This window comes from Homo sapiens, chromosome 20 (assembly GCF_000001405.40).
Source record: "Homo sapiens chromosome 20, GRCh38.p14 Primary Assembly".
Lineage (NCBI taxonomy): Eukaryota > Metazoa > Chordata > Mammalia > Primates > Hominidae > Homo > Homo sapiens.
In genome coordinates this window covers 58,653,739-58,667,187 of record NC_000020.11, presented here as the reverse complement: position 1 = coordinate 58,667,187, position 13,449 = coordinate 58,653,739, and the positions used below count along the sequence as shown (strand labels likewise).

Sequence of the window (13,449 nt, the reverse complement as noted above, 5' to 3'; positions counted from 1 at the left end):
ATGAAAAAGTCAACAAAAGATCCTTAAAATAAAGACCTCTTACTACTAGTACTGTGATAGAACGGCATGAACCTCAATGATTCTTGTGATCAGTTGCAAGTGAAAAAAAAAACTAGGCAGTAAATGAAACAACTACAAAATGCTCAATAGTAGCAAGGTTTACTTAAATACACTTAGCTTATTTTGGAAATAGGGCTGATCCAGTTATCTCAGTCACACAATCATTAACCATGTGTTAAGATGTGTGAAACAACTGCCTAAAACCGCTAGCAAATTATCTACCATTTGGCAAAAGCAATCCTTAAGATCTCAATGCAATCTTACACTGTCATTTCTTTTCTTCAGTTAAATGTCCACAGGGAACATTTCCCCTTATTTTGAAATGGTATCGATGGTTCCTGTTTATTTTAACTATATAACACACTGCGGTAGAAAGCTTTTAAGAATGGGAGGGAAATCGGCTGGGCGCGGTGGCTCACGCCTGTAATCCCAGAACTTTGGGAGGCCAAGGCGGGCAGATCATCTGAGGTCAGGAGTTCGAGAGTAGCCTGGCCAAAATGGTGAAAACCGTTCTCTACTAAAAATACAAAAATTAACTGGGCATGGTGGCTTATGCCTGTAATCCCAGCTACTCGGGAGGCTGAGGCAGGAGAATCCCTTGAACCCAAGAGGCGAAGGTCGCAGTGAGCCATGATCGTACCATTGCACTCCAGCCAGGGCAACAAGAGCGAAACTCTGTCTCAAAAAAAAAAAAAAAAAAAAAACACACACACACACAAAAAACAGAGGGAAATCATGGGTTTGGCACGGTTAAGCTGTTTTCTTGCCTGCAGGCAGTGAATGGGTTGAAAAGATTTTGAGGTGCCCTCCAGAGCTCAGAATTTTTAAATGCCAGTTTCAAAAGATCCAAATGATGATCAAAATATAATGGAAAATAATCTATAAAAGCCCTTTATAGATAATACTTTGGAAATTTTCTAAATCACACTGTAGAGTTGGGTGAAAAATTCATATTGCTTTTCTTCCCTCTTCCTTGCATTTAACTAAATTTATTTTTTCATTCATTAAATACTTATTTGCTTTTCTAATAATAAAGGAACAAGACAAAATTTTAAAATCCACAGATGAAGGGGGAAAAATATCATATAAAGAAAAACTTAGAATAAAAGACCACTTCAAGTAATAGGCCCTAAATCCTAAAGAGTTCACAGTAAAATTCTTAAAAGCAAATTGGTATCTTCACCATCAACCTCCCTGCATGCCCTGGAGTGGTTCTGCCACCATCTGCTTCAGGCTTTCTGTGTGCTCTGGGGCACGTGTCCACTCAGGGAACGCATCTTAGGCAATGACCACGCTGGAAGGACTAGGCCCCATTCACTAATCCCAGCACGTCCAGGAGCCGTGATTAAGCCCAACGGTGCTCAAGCGTGGCACGGATGCTGCAGGGCCAGTGTCATTTCTTAAACAAATGGTGTGTCATCCAAACCCGCACTGTCTGGGGCTCCCGGGCCGTGAAGTGGTAATTCTCCACCACCACTACCTTCTGTTTGGTTTCAAGAGTTCATCAATAGGAATTTTACATTCTTGACATTATTTTAATCCTCATAAAAACTAGGTGAGTTAGAAACTATTATTCTAACCTATAAATATGGAAATTGAAACTCAGAAAAGTTAAGTCGCTTGCCCAAGGTCACAGAGCCATTATGTGACAGACTGAAACCTGGGTCGGCTGACTCCAGAAACCCCTTCCACCCTCAAAGGTGCCAATCACTCCACAGGCCCATAAACTATAACTGCAATTTGCTAAGAAAATGAATCAAGACAAGCCATCAGATTAAAACAACAAAACACAGTAGTTTGATTCATTTCCCACCAACTACACCAGGCACTATAGGACAGGCCGCCAGTGAGTGACGTTAGTGTCAGTAAAGATCATCCTCTCTTACTGACCATCCGTGGACAGAGAGGCGCAGACCTCACCCTCTACAGAGCAGGCACAGAGAGGGCCTGTGCCAAGCACTCAGAGGCAGACTTGTTTATTCCTCAACACTCCTGCTCCAAAGTCACCAAGAGGTACACAACTCTGTGGAGGACACACTGACTAAAAAGCAGGGGGACAAACCACAGGCCCAGCTCGCAGCACCTGCCAGCCATACATCAGGTGCTGTCTACAGTATTGCTGGACTGGAACAGAACTTGAACTCCAGCTGTTTATACAAAGTAAAATCTAAAATTGCTAAAGGACCTCTTCATGGGTCCTAGAATTTCCACTACACCAGTTTATTATCGAATCCACTATATTTTATTATTACACATTTCAATCAGTAATTATTTATAGTGATTTTAGAGTTTTTAAGCTCATGATCTTATTTTGTACTGTTTTTACTGTTTACAAATACACATTAAACTAAAGAAGACAGAGAGATGGTATCTATCTAAATTTACCTGCATTGGGATTAGTATCATTTTATCCAAAACAACAAATTATAAACCACATATGAAAAGTCGGTTGAAGTGAATACAACTCTTTGAAGCAGTACTTGATTTTATGCATGTGTTCCCCTCAAATTAGATGTAAATCAAAAGTGGGGAGAACACACTCTTTGTTAAGGGTCCTAAGGAAGCTTGCTAATTAGAGATTCCTACATGAACAGCATGGATGCCAGCCTGCTCAGCTGGTACTAGCTTTCCCACACATTGTATCAGAGTTTTGCCAGTAAGATAGAACAGCTGATTCTTTGGGAATGAAAACTTTAAATAGCGAATAATTTGTCTCTTTTATGATACAGTCTATAGCTATAGTTCATTATAATAAAGAAACACCACCCTATTGAGAAGAAATGTGTCATTTCTTTTAGCAGTATGGATTTGTAATGTGTATCACAGTATGTACTATTAAAAAACAAGACAGTATGTTTTGGGAAGGGAAAACAATTGTTGAAGATAAGCGTCAACTATTTGAAATGGGAACAAATATGGACATAAACAAATTTTATGTGCAACATAAGCACCCTTTTAATTTCAGAAACCTCACTTTCCATTTAAAAACATGTCTTCTTATTGTTGAAGATCCAGCATATGTATCAATTTTCAAGCTGCCATCCTATTTCATACAGATCTTAAAAAATGGCCAGGTTTCTAATTCTCTCTCCTTACCCTTACTGAATTTCAACATGGTGCCCCCTCCAAATATATGATGTTGGTTTGTGCAGCTGGCCATGGTGGCTCACGCCGGTAATCCCAGCACTTTGGGAGGCTGAGGCAGGCGGATTGCCTGAGGTCGGGAGTTCAAGACCAGCCTAGCCAGCACGGTGAAACCCCGTCTCTACTGAAAATACAAAAATTAGCCGGGCATGGTGGCATGCACCTGTAATCCCAGCTACTCGGGAAGCTGAGGCAGGAGAATCACTTGAACCCGGAAGGCAGAAGTTGCAGTGAGCCAAGATCGTGCCAATGTGCTCCAGCCTTTTATTAAGACAGAGCGAGACTCCATCTCAATACATAAATAAATAAATAAATTTGTGCTTCTGAAGTAAAAAAAAAAAAATCCATATTTTTTAAATAAAAATTGTACTTAAGAGAATTAAGAATTCTTGCCTCTTTGATATGTAGTTCCTCTCTCCAAGAACTACTGGGGTCCGCTACCCTAACCTAGAGCCATCCTTCCTGAGAGAAATGCAGAAAAAATCCAACAGATGTTCAAAACAGCACACCCAATGGCTTTCCTGCCAGTCTCACTAAAGGTATCTTTTGCCTTTGATCCACTTCAAATGTTGACATTTGTCCATTTAAAGAGTACCAGCCAGTATGGACAAGTTCTCCATCTATGGAAAGAACATACACATTCTCTCTTATAAATCTTGCTGTTCCAAATCTATGGCCCTCCTACTCTTAAAAACCCTGCCTTTCCCTGAAGGCTGATTTAGTGTAGACTAAGATTACAGAAATAGCAAAGCCTCTGTGGAGATTGGAAAAGTCAGCTACACCTCCTCCCCATCTAAAAAAATCAACTAAGTTTAGCCGTAACGCATTGGTAATGAGAACAATACCGATAATTCTGGACTGTCTATGGCAATGAACACTTGGAAAGCCCAGAAGGGACACTGAAAATCAACAGACTGGCAACTCACACTTCCACGTGAAACTCTGGGAGCCTGTATGATGAAGTCAGACTACTTCGCTAATAGACAATTAGGCTTAAGAAATCCGAGTTGTTGGAGAAGTGAATAAGCATGTGGATAAAAGAAAAAAGTGATGTCAGCACTACATTTTTCTAAACCCGTAATAATTTTAAAATAATGCTTACCTTTTCTAATTATGAAATTAGTAAATGGTCAAAATAAATACTTTTAAAATGGCATAGGATGACGCAGTGGCTCACGCCTGTAATCCTAGCACTTGGGAGGCCAAGGCAGGCGGATCACTTGAGCTCAGGAGTTCGAGACCAGCCTGAGCAACATGTCAAAACTCCGTCTCTACTAAAAAATACAAAAATAAATAAATAAATAAAATAGCCACGCATGGTGGCACGCACCTGTAGTCCCAGCTACTCAGGAGGCTGAGGCAGGAGAATCGCTTGAACTGGGGAGGCAGAGGTTGCAGTGAGCCGAGATCGCGCCACTGCACTCTAGCCTGGGCAACAGAGTGAGACTCTGTCTCAAAAAAATAAAAATAAATGATACAAAAAATATAGAGATAAAAACACTTGAGAATCACATCACCCTGATACTGTTGTTAAGTTTCACTGATTTTCCTTTTTTCTCAACTAACATACATACTCTGAGGGGAAGAAAAAGGAGGGGAGCAATCCGTCCCTCCCTGCCTTCTGTGAGCACTGTACTGAGCACTGCTACTGACCTGGCCCATGCCAGTCCCAAGAACAATCCTTCAGAGGAGCGCCGCTCCCTATTTCACCAACATGGACACTGGGGCCCGGCCCAGGCACTCCCAGATGTGCAGTCCTCCAGGCAGTGTGGTTTGGGGGCTTGACATTTGTTATCTTGTGACTTTTAAAATAATTCTTGAGTTTAAAAACTCCCAGAGATTTCTTTGTCATAAGACAGGAAGTAGATTAAAGACAGAGAACAAAGGAGAGGGCCAGACACTTCCCTGGGTAAGAGAACCAATGGTGGGCTCGGGTCCTCCTCAGGGAACACCTTACTTAGTGTTTTCTGAGAAGGAAAAGTGACATCTCCAGGGTACTCAGGCTAGAGGAGGAGAATGACAATCAAACATGGACAGACTGCAGGAAGCCTCTGAAGTGAGGCCGTCAGATGCCTTTACTCTGGGAGATGCAAGTGATATTCACTCAGGGACATTTGCTCAGGCCTCCCCTATAAAGGGGTGGCTAACATCTAATCCACTCTGGAGCTGGGTGTTCACTATTTCCAGAGATGCCAATGTGAGGCCCTGCGTCAGCTTCAAAGAAGCCTCTGGACACTGTCCCCAACCACACCCCCTGCTCCTAGGCCAGTACCTGGCACTTCAGAGTCCTGAACGCACAATCACAACCAGCTGAGTGATCCGACAAGAAACGAGTGGAATGAATGCACGAGGTAAATAAAATGTACGTCACAGACAATTGTGGAAGCCACACTTCATGAAAAAGATAACGGCACTGCACAAAAGAGCAAAAGAGGCAAGTGAAACGCACAAGGAAATGAGGTGGCCGTGGGCACCCACGATGAGGCAGCAACCTGCATTTCTAATAGCACTGGGGTGAGCGTGGAGGAGATAGTGCTCTCTACGCAGGGCCTCTGATCACAGAGCGTGAAGACTCCCTTTTAAGCCCTTAGAGGTGAAACATAAGAAAAGCAAAAGGGCCTGCCAAGTTCATGCAGTGAGTAGCCAGTTTCTGGAACTTGCTGCCTGAAAAAGGAAGTAGGAAAGACTGGAAATCGGTTCAGACAGCAGACCCCGAAGTAATTATGACCACTTATGTGCCCCTCCTTGGAACATTATTCAAATGGTTCTTCAACCTAAGTGGTTCCATAATTTGTTACCCTCCCTCGCATCCTATACACTTCCTTTTGAGGTCATAAGCTCCATATCTTCAAACTGTTCAGCCAGTAGCAACATCTATTTTAACTCAGAACGCCTGCTCTCCAAGCCCCCAAGCCCTCTCCAGGGCCCCGTGCCCAGGCGGGGAGCTGGCAGTGAGGTTCCTGAATGGGAAAGGAAACCCCCACACAGGCATGACCATGACACCTGGCTCAGTCAGCTACCCGTTGAGTGGTGTTTTTTTTTTTTAACTAATTGTTTTTAGTGGCAAAGTATACATGCACATGGTTTAAAAATATATATCCACCCTAAGAAAAGGGTTTGCAATAGAAAGGAAGTTTTCTATCCCAGATGTTTCTTGGGGTGTATCCACTGTTAACAGTTTCTTGTGTATCTTTTCAGGAATTTTTTAAGCACACACAAGCATAAATATGAGTTATTTTTCCTGAAAAAAAAAAAAAAAAAAAAAAAAAAGGAGCAGGAATCATATTATCCATGCTGCTCTGCATCTGGGTCTTTCCACTCCGCCATGTGTCTGGGGCTTATTCCACTGCAGCTCTCATGGATGGGCCTCACTATTTACCTGTTACAGAGGGTCAGAGATGCTACACAATATATTTAACCAGTTCCCAATGAAGGCTATTTAGGCTGTGCTCAGTCTGTTGTCATTATCAACTAGTTAAGGTTTTTAGAATATATAGGTAGATCTGAATCTACTAGTTAGGACCCCACTGGTTTTAAGGACAGTGATCCTCCTAATCCTACTTTACTATTCATACTTCTAAATGAAAACAAACAAGAACAACCCTCACCTCTCCATCACTCTACTTAAAAGGTCTATACTCAGGAAAAATATTCTTACCCCTTCAATGCTGAAACAGACAATAGACACAAACATTAACAACAGTTTTAATCTCATTTTTTCTCAACCCTTTTACTCCGGCTACTAAAATAAAGTGCTTTGAATATATATTCTCTCCACCTTCTGGGCAAGATGCTAGTAGCTAATAAAAAGGCCAAAGGCACCCCCAGCTAGGAGATGCAGAACTGGGCCCAGGTGACAATAGCTCCAGGTGCATCCACTGGGTGTCATCTCATTCCAGACAGGAGTGACAAGGAAGACCCTCCCACAGTTGCCGTGGCTACAGTCCTTCTCATTTAGGGCCTTCACAGACATGCTGGCCTTCTATACTGTCTACCTGAGGAAGTGCACGACTCACTTCTCAGAAATCAGGAAGCTACAGACATTAATTCTCAAAACATTCTGGCTTCCTTGAAGAAAGTGTTCAACCTTTACTGCTTCCAAAGTTAAGACACTTTCCCAAGACTAGTAAACGATCTTCCCAAAGCCTTTTTTAAATCATCAGTTCACATGGTGTGAAAATAGATTAAATTCTACATATTAAACTGTTAAAAAAATTATAAAGTAATCAAAACAAATGCTAAATATGTATAAGCTGTTAGCATTTTATATATGAGCAAAGACTTCAGGAAAAGTAGGTATTTTATAAACTCAAATTACCCAACATATAAAAATATTCAAAACACAATACCTCGTCCAGCTCCTGAAGAGACATGTTGTCCCCATCAGTCCCATCCAGTTGGGGAAAGCACAAAGAAAGCAGCATGGGACAGACAGACAGACAAGGCATGGTCAGTTGAGAAAACACTGAGATTTTAAGCTGACTAAATATAAAGATCCACTAAGCAAGGCATTTTAAAATCTCCTTTTTTTTTTTTAAATTAAGCTACATCAATATATGCTTTAATTTTTATTTACTGTGGTTGTTTTGAAAATGAGCTAGGAAACAAGCAAAAAATGACTGTAAATATTAAAATACACTGGAAACAGATAAAACACACTTGCTTTGGTTTCACTAAAATATGCTGTTAATCTGTTTCATAAACACCAAATATCACATACAATACCACATTCTATTTTCCCTCAGGAAAATAAAATAAGAGAGCAGAGCTAAAATGTAATTTTATCATGTTAAATAAATGTATATTTTAACATGTAAATCAGACCTGCAAATGCAACAAAATTAAAAAATAAATGACCCACAAAAATTGTCTGTAGCTGTATTCAGATAACATGTGAGTGACCACATATGTAAGGTCTCTGCAAATTACATCCCGCAGACACGGCTTCATCCCTGGTAGTAAGAGAGCTGAGAAACCACTCTTTCCCGGAGAGAGACACAGGTGGCAAAATAAAAGAAAAACTCTTACCATCTCTTGGTATGTATTATTATTAGCTAGAAAGCATACAGTTATTCATAAGGCTCTTATAAAAGCAAGCAAACGAGACAAAACAAAAGGTAAGAATAATTTTTTTCTTTTAAGGGGAGGGGGAAGGGAGAAGCATGACACCAGAGGGTTAAGTTTCAATTGAAAAGTAAAGGTTCTTTTTTAGATCAACATGGAACTCTATCTTCTGGACAGACATTTACTAATGACAGATAATCTAAACAACTAGGTCTTTTTTTTGTACAGTATTGATCACTGAAATAATTAGTGGTGAAATTCAATAATCAATTGTGTTTTTTTATGTTTAGCAGTAAATTTAGAAAATAAAACATAACTTTCTTATTTAAAAATAGTGCAAATGAAGCTGCTCTATCAGGGTCAAAATATTATTAAACAATGATAGCAATAAAAATGTAATCAAACTTTACTCCACGTAAAAATTCAATTAGATGACATTATGAAAAGCTGCAAATCCTCTTCATTCCTTCCACAATTTTCTATGAGAGCAAAAAAGAACTCTATACACACCCTGCCATAATAGTAGTACTAGACGATATTAATAAATCAAATGGAAAGCTGATTTAATTACCTTTTACTTTACAAAGAAAAAATGTTTTTATTTTTTAAAAGCTTAACATTAAGAGAACATTAAAATCTTTTATTAATAAAACATGATGCAAGACAAAATCCCTAACTTGAGTATCTCAGTCTTCTTCCTATTCTGCAGCGGCTCCCTGGCATTTAATCTTTGAACGATGTACTATTGCAAACCTCGGTTAAAATCTCTGCTGCACATGTGCCTATGCTCTTGGATTATTAACCGAGCACACACACCCTGATCTTCTGATTTCTACAATTATTAGTTGATAAGAGGTGAAATCAGAATCATGGGATTCTAGGGCTAGAAATAAGTCTTTTCTTACAAATAAGAAAACTAAGCTTCAAAATGTATAAATGCATTGCTTGAAGCCACAGAGCTTGTTAATGGTCAGACTGGGGACAGACCCAGGTGTTCAGGTCTCTTTCCACCCCACCCTCCAGCCTCTCTAATTTTATTAACAATTCAGGGAATTACTTGTGATAGGCAGCTACCACCACATCAGGAATATTAAATTAAGGTCACCTTTTCAAAGACCCTCCCCACCATTCTGCTATTTAAAAATAGAAGGCTTTCAAAATTCTGTCTGCCACCAAATTACCAGGAAATTTAGTCAAGACCTGAATTAAAACATTTAGAATTACCATCAAGAAAGACCAAAATAAAGCCAAATGAAAACACGTTACTACACATCATCACCTTCTAAATCTTTATAATGTCTAAATCTAGGTTTTTGACCTTCCAATGGCATGCAATCAAGCAAACACTGAAAACTCCAAGTAGCATGTGGAATTTATAGTCTAAAGAACTTTCTACATAAAACTGAAAAATAAGTGGAAACCCATCTGTGTTTACTCAGGAAGTCTGGAAAAGTTGAGCAAAATGAGTTGGAAACACAGGTCTATGCTATAGTGATATTTACTTTATTTCCGTTACTGCCAAAATAAAAGTTTGCTTCACTTTTATCCAACAAAGTACCCTTATTCTCAAAGTAAGCCTCACTGCTCCCATGGAATCTTTAAAAGCAGAAAAGCAAGTAGATCTAAAGAGAAATATATAATGATTTCATACTTGGATTCTAAAGACAGAGAACTAATTTTCCAACAGACTCAGCTTGTACTAAAACTTAGAATCTTCAATCTGCAAGTTAAAATTGACTATGTAAGGTTCATAAAGTGAGATAAAGAAAGATGCTAGCCTATTGCAAGAAAAAAAATTGTTTTAAAACAATAGGTCCTTCCATTTTCCAGGATCTGCAGCACAAGTTCTGAAAATGCAGCCAACACCAGAGTGGCCCAGGAGGTGAGCACGGGGCTCTGAAGCCAGATTTGCCAGAGTTCCAATCACAGCCCCCAGCCATCAGGTGGGTGACACTGGGCCAGTTTCCTACCTCCTCTAAAATCTGTTTCCTTATCTGTATCTGAGAAAAACAATAGTACTTATTTGATAGAGCACTGTGAAGATGAGCTGAGCTTACACACGGAAAGGGCTTAGCCCAGAGCCAGGCACAAAGTAAACTCTCCATAAATCTTAGCTAATATTGTAGTCAAGCCTGAATAAGGACCTCAGGTTTCTTATAACCATAGTTAATCCTTAATTTCCTTTTTCCTAAAGCACACATTTTATTAAAAATAATGTGCTTATGTTTCAAACTAATCTAAGACCAATTAACGCTAGCTTCCAATTATAGATTATGCATTATTTTAAAGCAGAGTATAGATTAGGCAGTAAACACTAACAAAGTAGCTCCAACCCCTATATTAGATCCATTCCCGGAGATCGAAGGAAACCACACAAATCCATACAGAATTTCATCAGATCAGAAGAGCATCTCAATATCTACCTTTCATTCATTTCTTTATGACTTTACAATTTGTTTTGAATAATTGTTTAGCTTCATAAATCCATTTCAGTTTCCTAAAGCCAAGCTGCTTGAATGAGTTGCTACCTTAAAACCTGCACTTGGCTGGCATAATAATGTGAAAGTTACTTTTGCACAGTACTGGGGCTACTTCTAAGGATTTCTGTCAGTAACCTTGGACTGACAGCTACAACACTGTTGACTATGAATTTCTCCTTTTCAAATTAAAGCTAAAGTCAGGAGAAACAATGTATTAAAACAGAACTTGAGAAAATACTGTTGAATCGATAGGGCTGCTGGAAATCACCTAACCCAAACCCCTCAGTTTACAAATGAGGCAAAAAATGTCCGAAAAGATTAAAGGCTTGCCTAAGGACACACTCTGAGCCTGCAGCAGAACAGGACTTAGGCCTCAATTCTCAGATTCAATTCTCAGTGCTCTTTCCTTTATTTCATGCTGCCCTGAGGCATGAACGTGATGGGGCACTCAAAACTGAGGCCAAAGTAAAATGCATGGGAAATACGACTGTATTTTGTTAGGAGTGCATAAAGTCAAACCTGTCTGTTTTTTTACAATTAGTTTTACTAACTTTAATACAACTAAGAACACAAAAAAGTAGAATTTTGCTCAGTTCTGGATGCTGAAATCTAAAAAGGATACAGAAAAACTAAACATCATTTATAGGAAAAAAGCATAACCACTCTGAGCCGGGAATGCTAGGCCTGGAAAGAATTCTGGGTAACAAGGCTGCAGGGTTACCAGACAGAAGGAAGACCCGAAGGAACAGAACTAAAAGCAGGACCCCAGGACACAAATAGTTGGGATTAACAGGCAAAGACTTTTTAGTGGTAAAAATCATGGAGCTGCTGGCATTTTCCATCATTGTCATACACCATGGCCAAATAAGATAGGCATGAGGGGTTATCACAAATGGGGACATTAGGCCAAATGACCTTTAGGTTCCTTCTGGCCCTTGAGGCTTTGTGTTTATCTGGTCACTGCGTATCCTCCTTAAATTCCTGTTTATTTGACATATTTGCCTGAATGCTGCAAAACCCTGTATGCACGCACAGGGACACACAATAACCCCACTACAACAACCAAATTCTAGTTTTTTCCCTCAAACTAGGATGCAAAAAATGCATGTTTAAATTTTTTGAATGGCATGGCTTTAGGTGTGCTTTGCTTTGAGGTGTATGATACACACTACTCTGCAATTAATTTCTGCAGCTTTTTCCTGAAATAAGATGTCAAAATTCAGGATTACAATTTTTTTTTTAAAAAGTCTGTTATTTTAGGTGTATTTTTAGTTGGTATCAAATGCATCAAGATCAAAGTCTACAGCTTTTTCTTCTAATTGGAAACTTAAAATTCCAGGTTATTATTTTTTAAATTAAGTTAAACTTAGGTTTAATTTCTTCCTTTCAAATTGCCTGAGTGTTAGACATGTATTTACAAATTGCCTCTTTTTAACTGTTTTACTTTACTATAACAAATATACTTACTTTAAGTTTCTATTTAAAAATTTTCAAACATGCAGAAAAGCCTACAAAATGGTAAAATGTCGCACACATACTCATCACTAGACTTAACAATGAGTAACAATTTGCCTTATTTGCTTCCTCTATTTTTGGAGGGGTTTAAGGACTTAGGTAAGATGCCTTGACATTTCACCACTAAACATTTCAGTAGGCATCTCTAATAAAATTAGCAAATGTAATGTATTATAATTAATTCCTTAATGTCACCTAATACCTAGTCCATATTCAAAATTTGACAGATACGATTTTGTTTGGTTTGCTACATGGCTTTGAAATTTACAAGTCAGAAACAAGGCTTTAAATTTTTTGTGAGCTAGATATGCAGTGAAAAGCATTGCTAAGAGTTACTCAATAGATTTTACAAATTGTGTTAAACATGGCTTTTGCTTCAAAATGTTTATAAAGCTTTTCCAACTTCCAGAAAAGTTGAAAAAATCATAACCTCTATTTAGTCTTGTTAGCATTTCGCCGTACTGTGTGCAGAATAGATTTTGTTACGAATCACCTGTAAGCAAAGTGAAGATGTAACACTTCAACCCTAAATACTTCAGAAATTTATGACATGCCATTTTTTAACACAATTAAAATATATAAATCTGTGTTTTATTTTTAAATTTGAATTCAGGCAAACTATGTTTGTTAGACTGCAAAACCTATTTTTGAGATAGTATGGATTGACTATAAGGATATTTTAAATGATATGACTGCTTTCAATGATCTGAGAAAGATTTTAAATGGTCAGACTAATATAAATATTAACATTTTCAATGGTATGACATTTAGAAAACATTTTTTAACGTTCTTAGAAATGTATTTTTAGTTGGGTTTAGAAATCTATTTTCAAAAAACTGTGAGTTAGCTAAATGTATCTGTATATACCCTGACATATCTATTTTTCCAAACTGTATACGTTAACTATCCATTTTTAATTATTCTGCTTAGCTTAAATATTTTTTAAAATTGCCTAACTTAGAAAATAATTTTCTAAAGTGGTCTGATTCAGAGATGCACTTTTAAAAAGCTTCCCGTCTCAGATACTAGGTTTTTAAACTGTCTGACTTAATCGGGAAAAAAAAAAAAACCCTCATGTTACCCAAAGGTTCAGGGTATTTTGAACCTTAATGATTAAAAATTGAAAAATAAACAATATGTTTTTCAATTAAAACTGATACCTTAGAAATCTTAATATGAGTTTCAG

General features: G+C 38.3%; 1 protein-coding gene and 1 long non-coding RNA gene across 9 annotated transcripts in view, besides 1 other annotated feature; both read right to left on the bottom strand.

Moving 5' to 3' along the window:
* Window positions 1–13,449, bottom strand: part of STX16-NPEPL1 (STX16-NPEPL1 readthrough (NMD candidate)) — a 64,592-nt gene that overhangs the window by 48,657 nt on the left and 2,486 nt on the right. Inside the window, exon 2 of the long non-coding RNA NR_037945.1 lies at window positions 7,554–7,565. This is a non-coding gene — a long non-coding RNA (STX16-NPEPL1 readthrough (NMD candidate)). The remainder of the gene's footprint in view (window positions 1–7,553; window positions 7,566–13,449) is intronic.
* STX16 (syntaxin 16) overlaps window positions 1–13,449 on the bottom strand; it is a 28,244-nt gene that overhangs the window by 12,339 nt on the left and 2,456 nt on the right. For 5 of the 8 annotated variants that reach the window (NR_037941.2, NR_037942.2, NM_001001433.3 and 2 more), the window contains one exon: window positions 7,554–7,565. The exons of the other annotated variants lie outside the window; for them this stretch is intronic. Coding sequence is in view for 2 of the 5 variants with exons in the window: in NM_001001433.3 (NP_001001433.1) it covers window positions 7,554–7,565 (12 nt within the window). In the remaining 3 variants the exon portion in view is untranslated. The remainder of the gene's footprint in view (window positions 1–7,553; window positions 7,566–13,449) is intronic. 8 annotated transcript variants of the gene reach the window in all.
* Window positions 5,422–5,921: an enhancer, noted in NCBI's record as "H3K27ac hESC enhancer chr20:57236323-57236822 (GRCh37/hg19 assembly coordinates)". NCBI's record gives its function as "activates a minimal SCP1, AML or CMV promoter by ChIP-STARR-seq in naive H9 embryonic stem cells {active_cell/tissue: H9 hESC(naive)}" and the evidence as "EXISTENCE:reporter gene assay evidence [ECO:0000049][PMID:30033119]".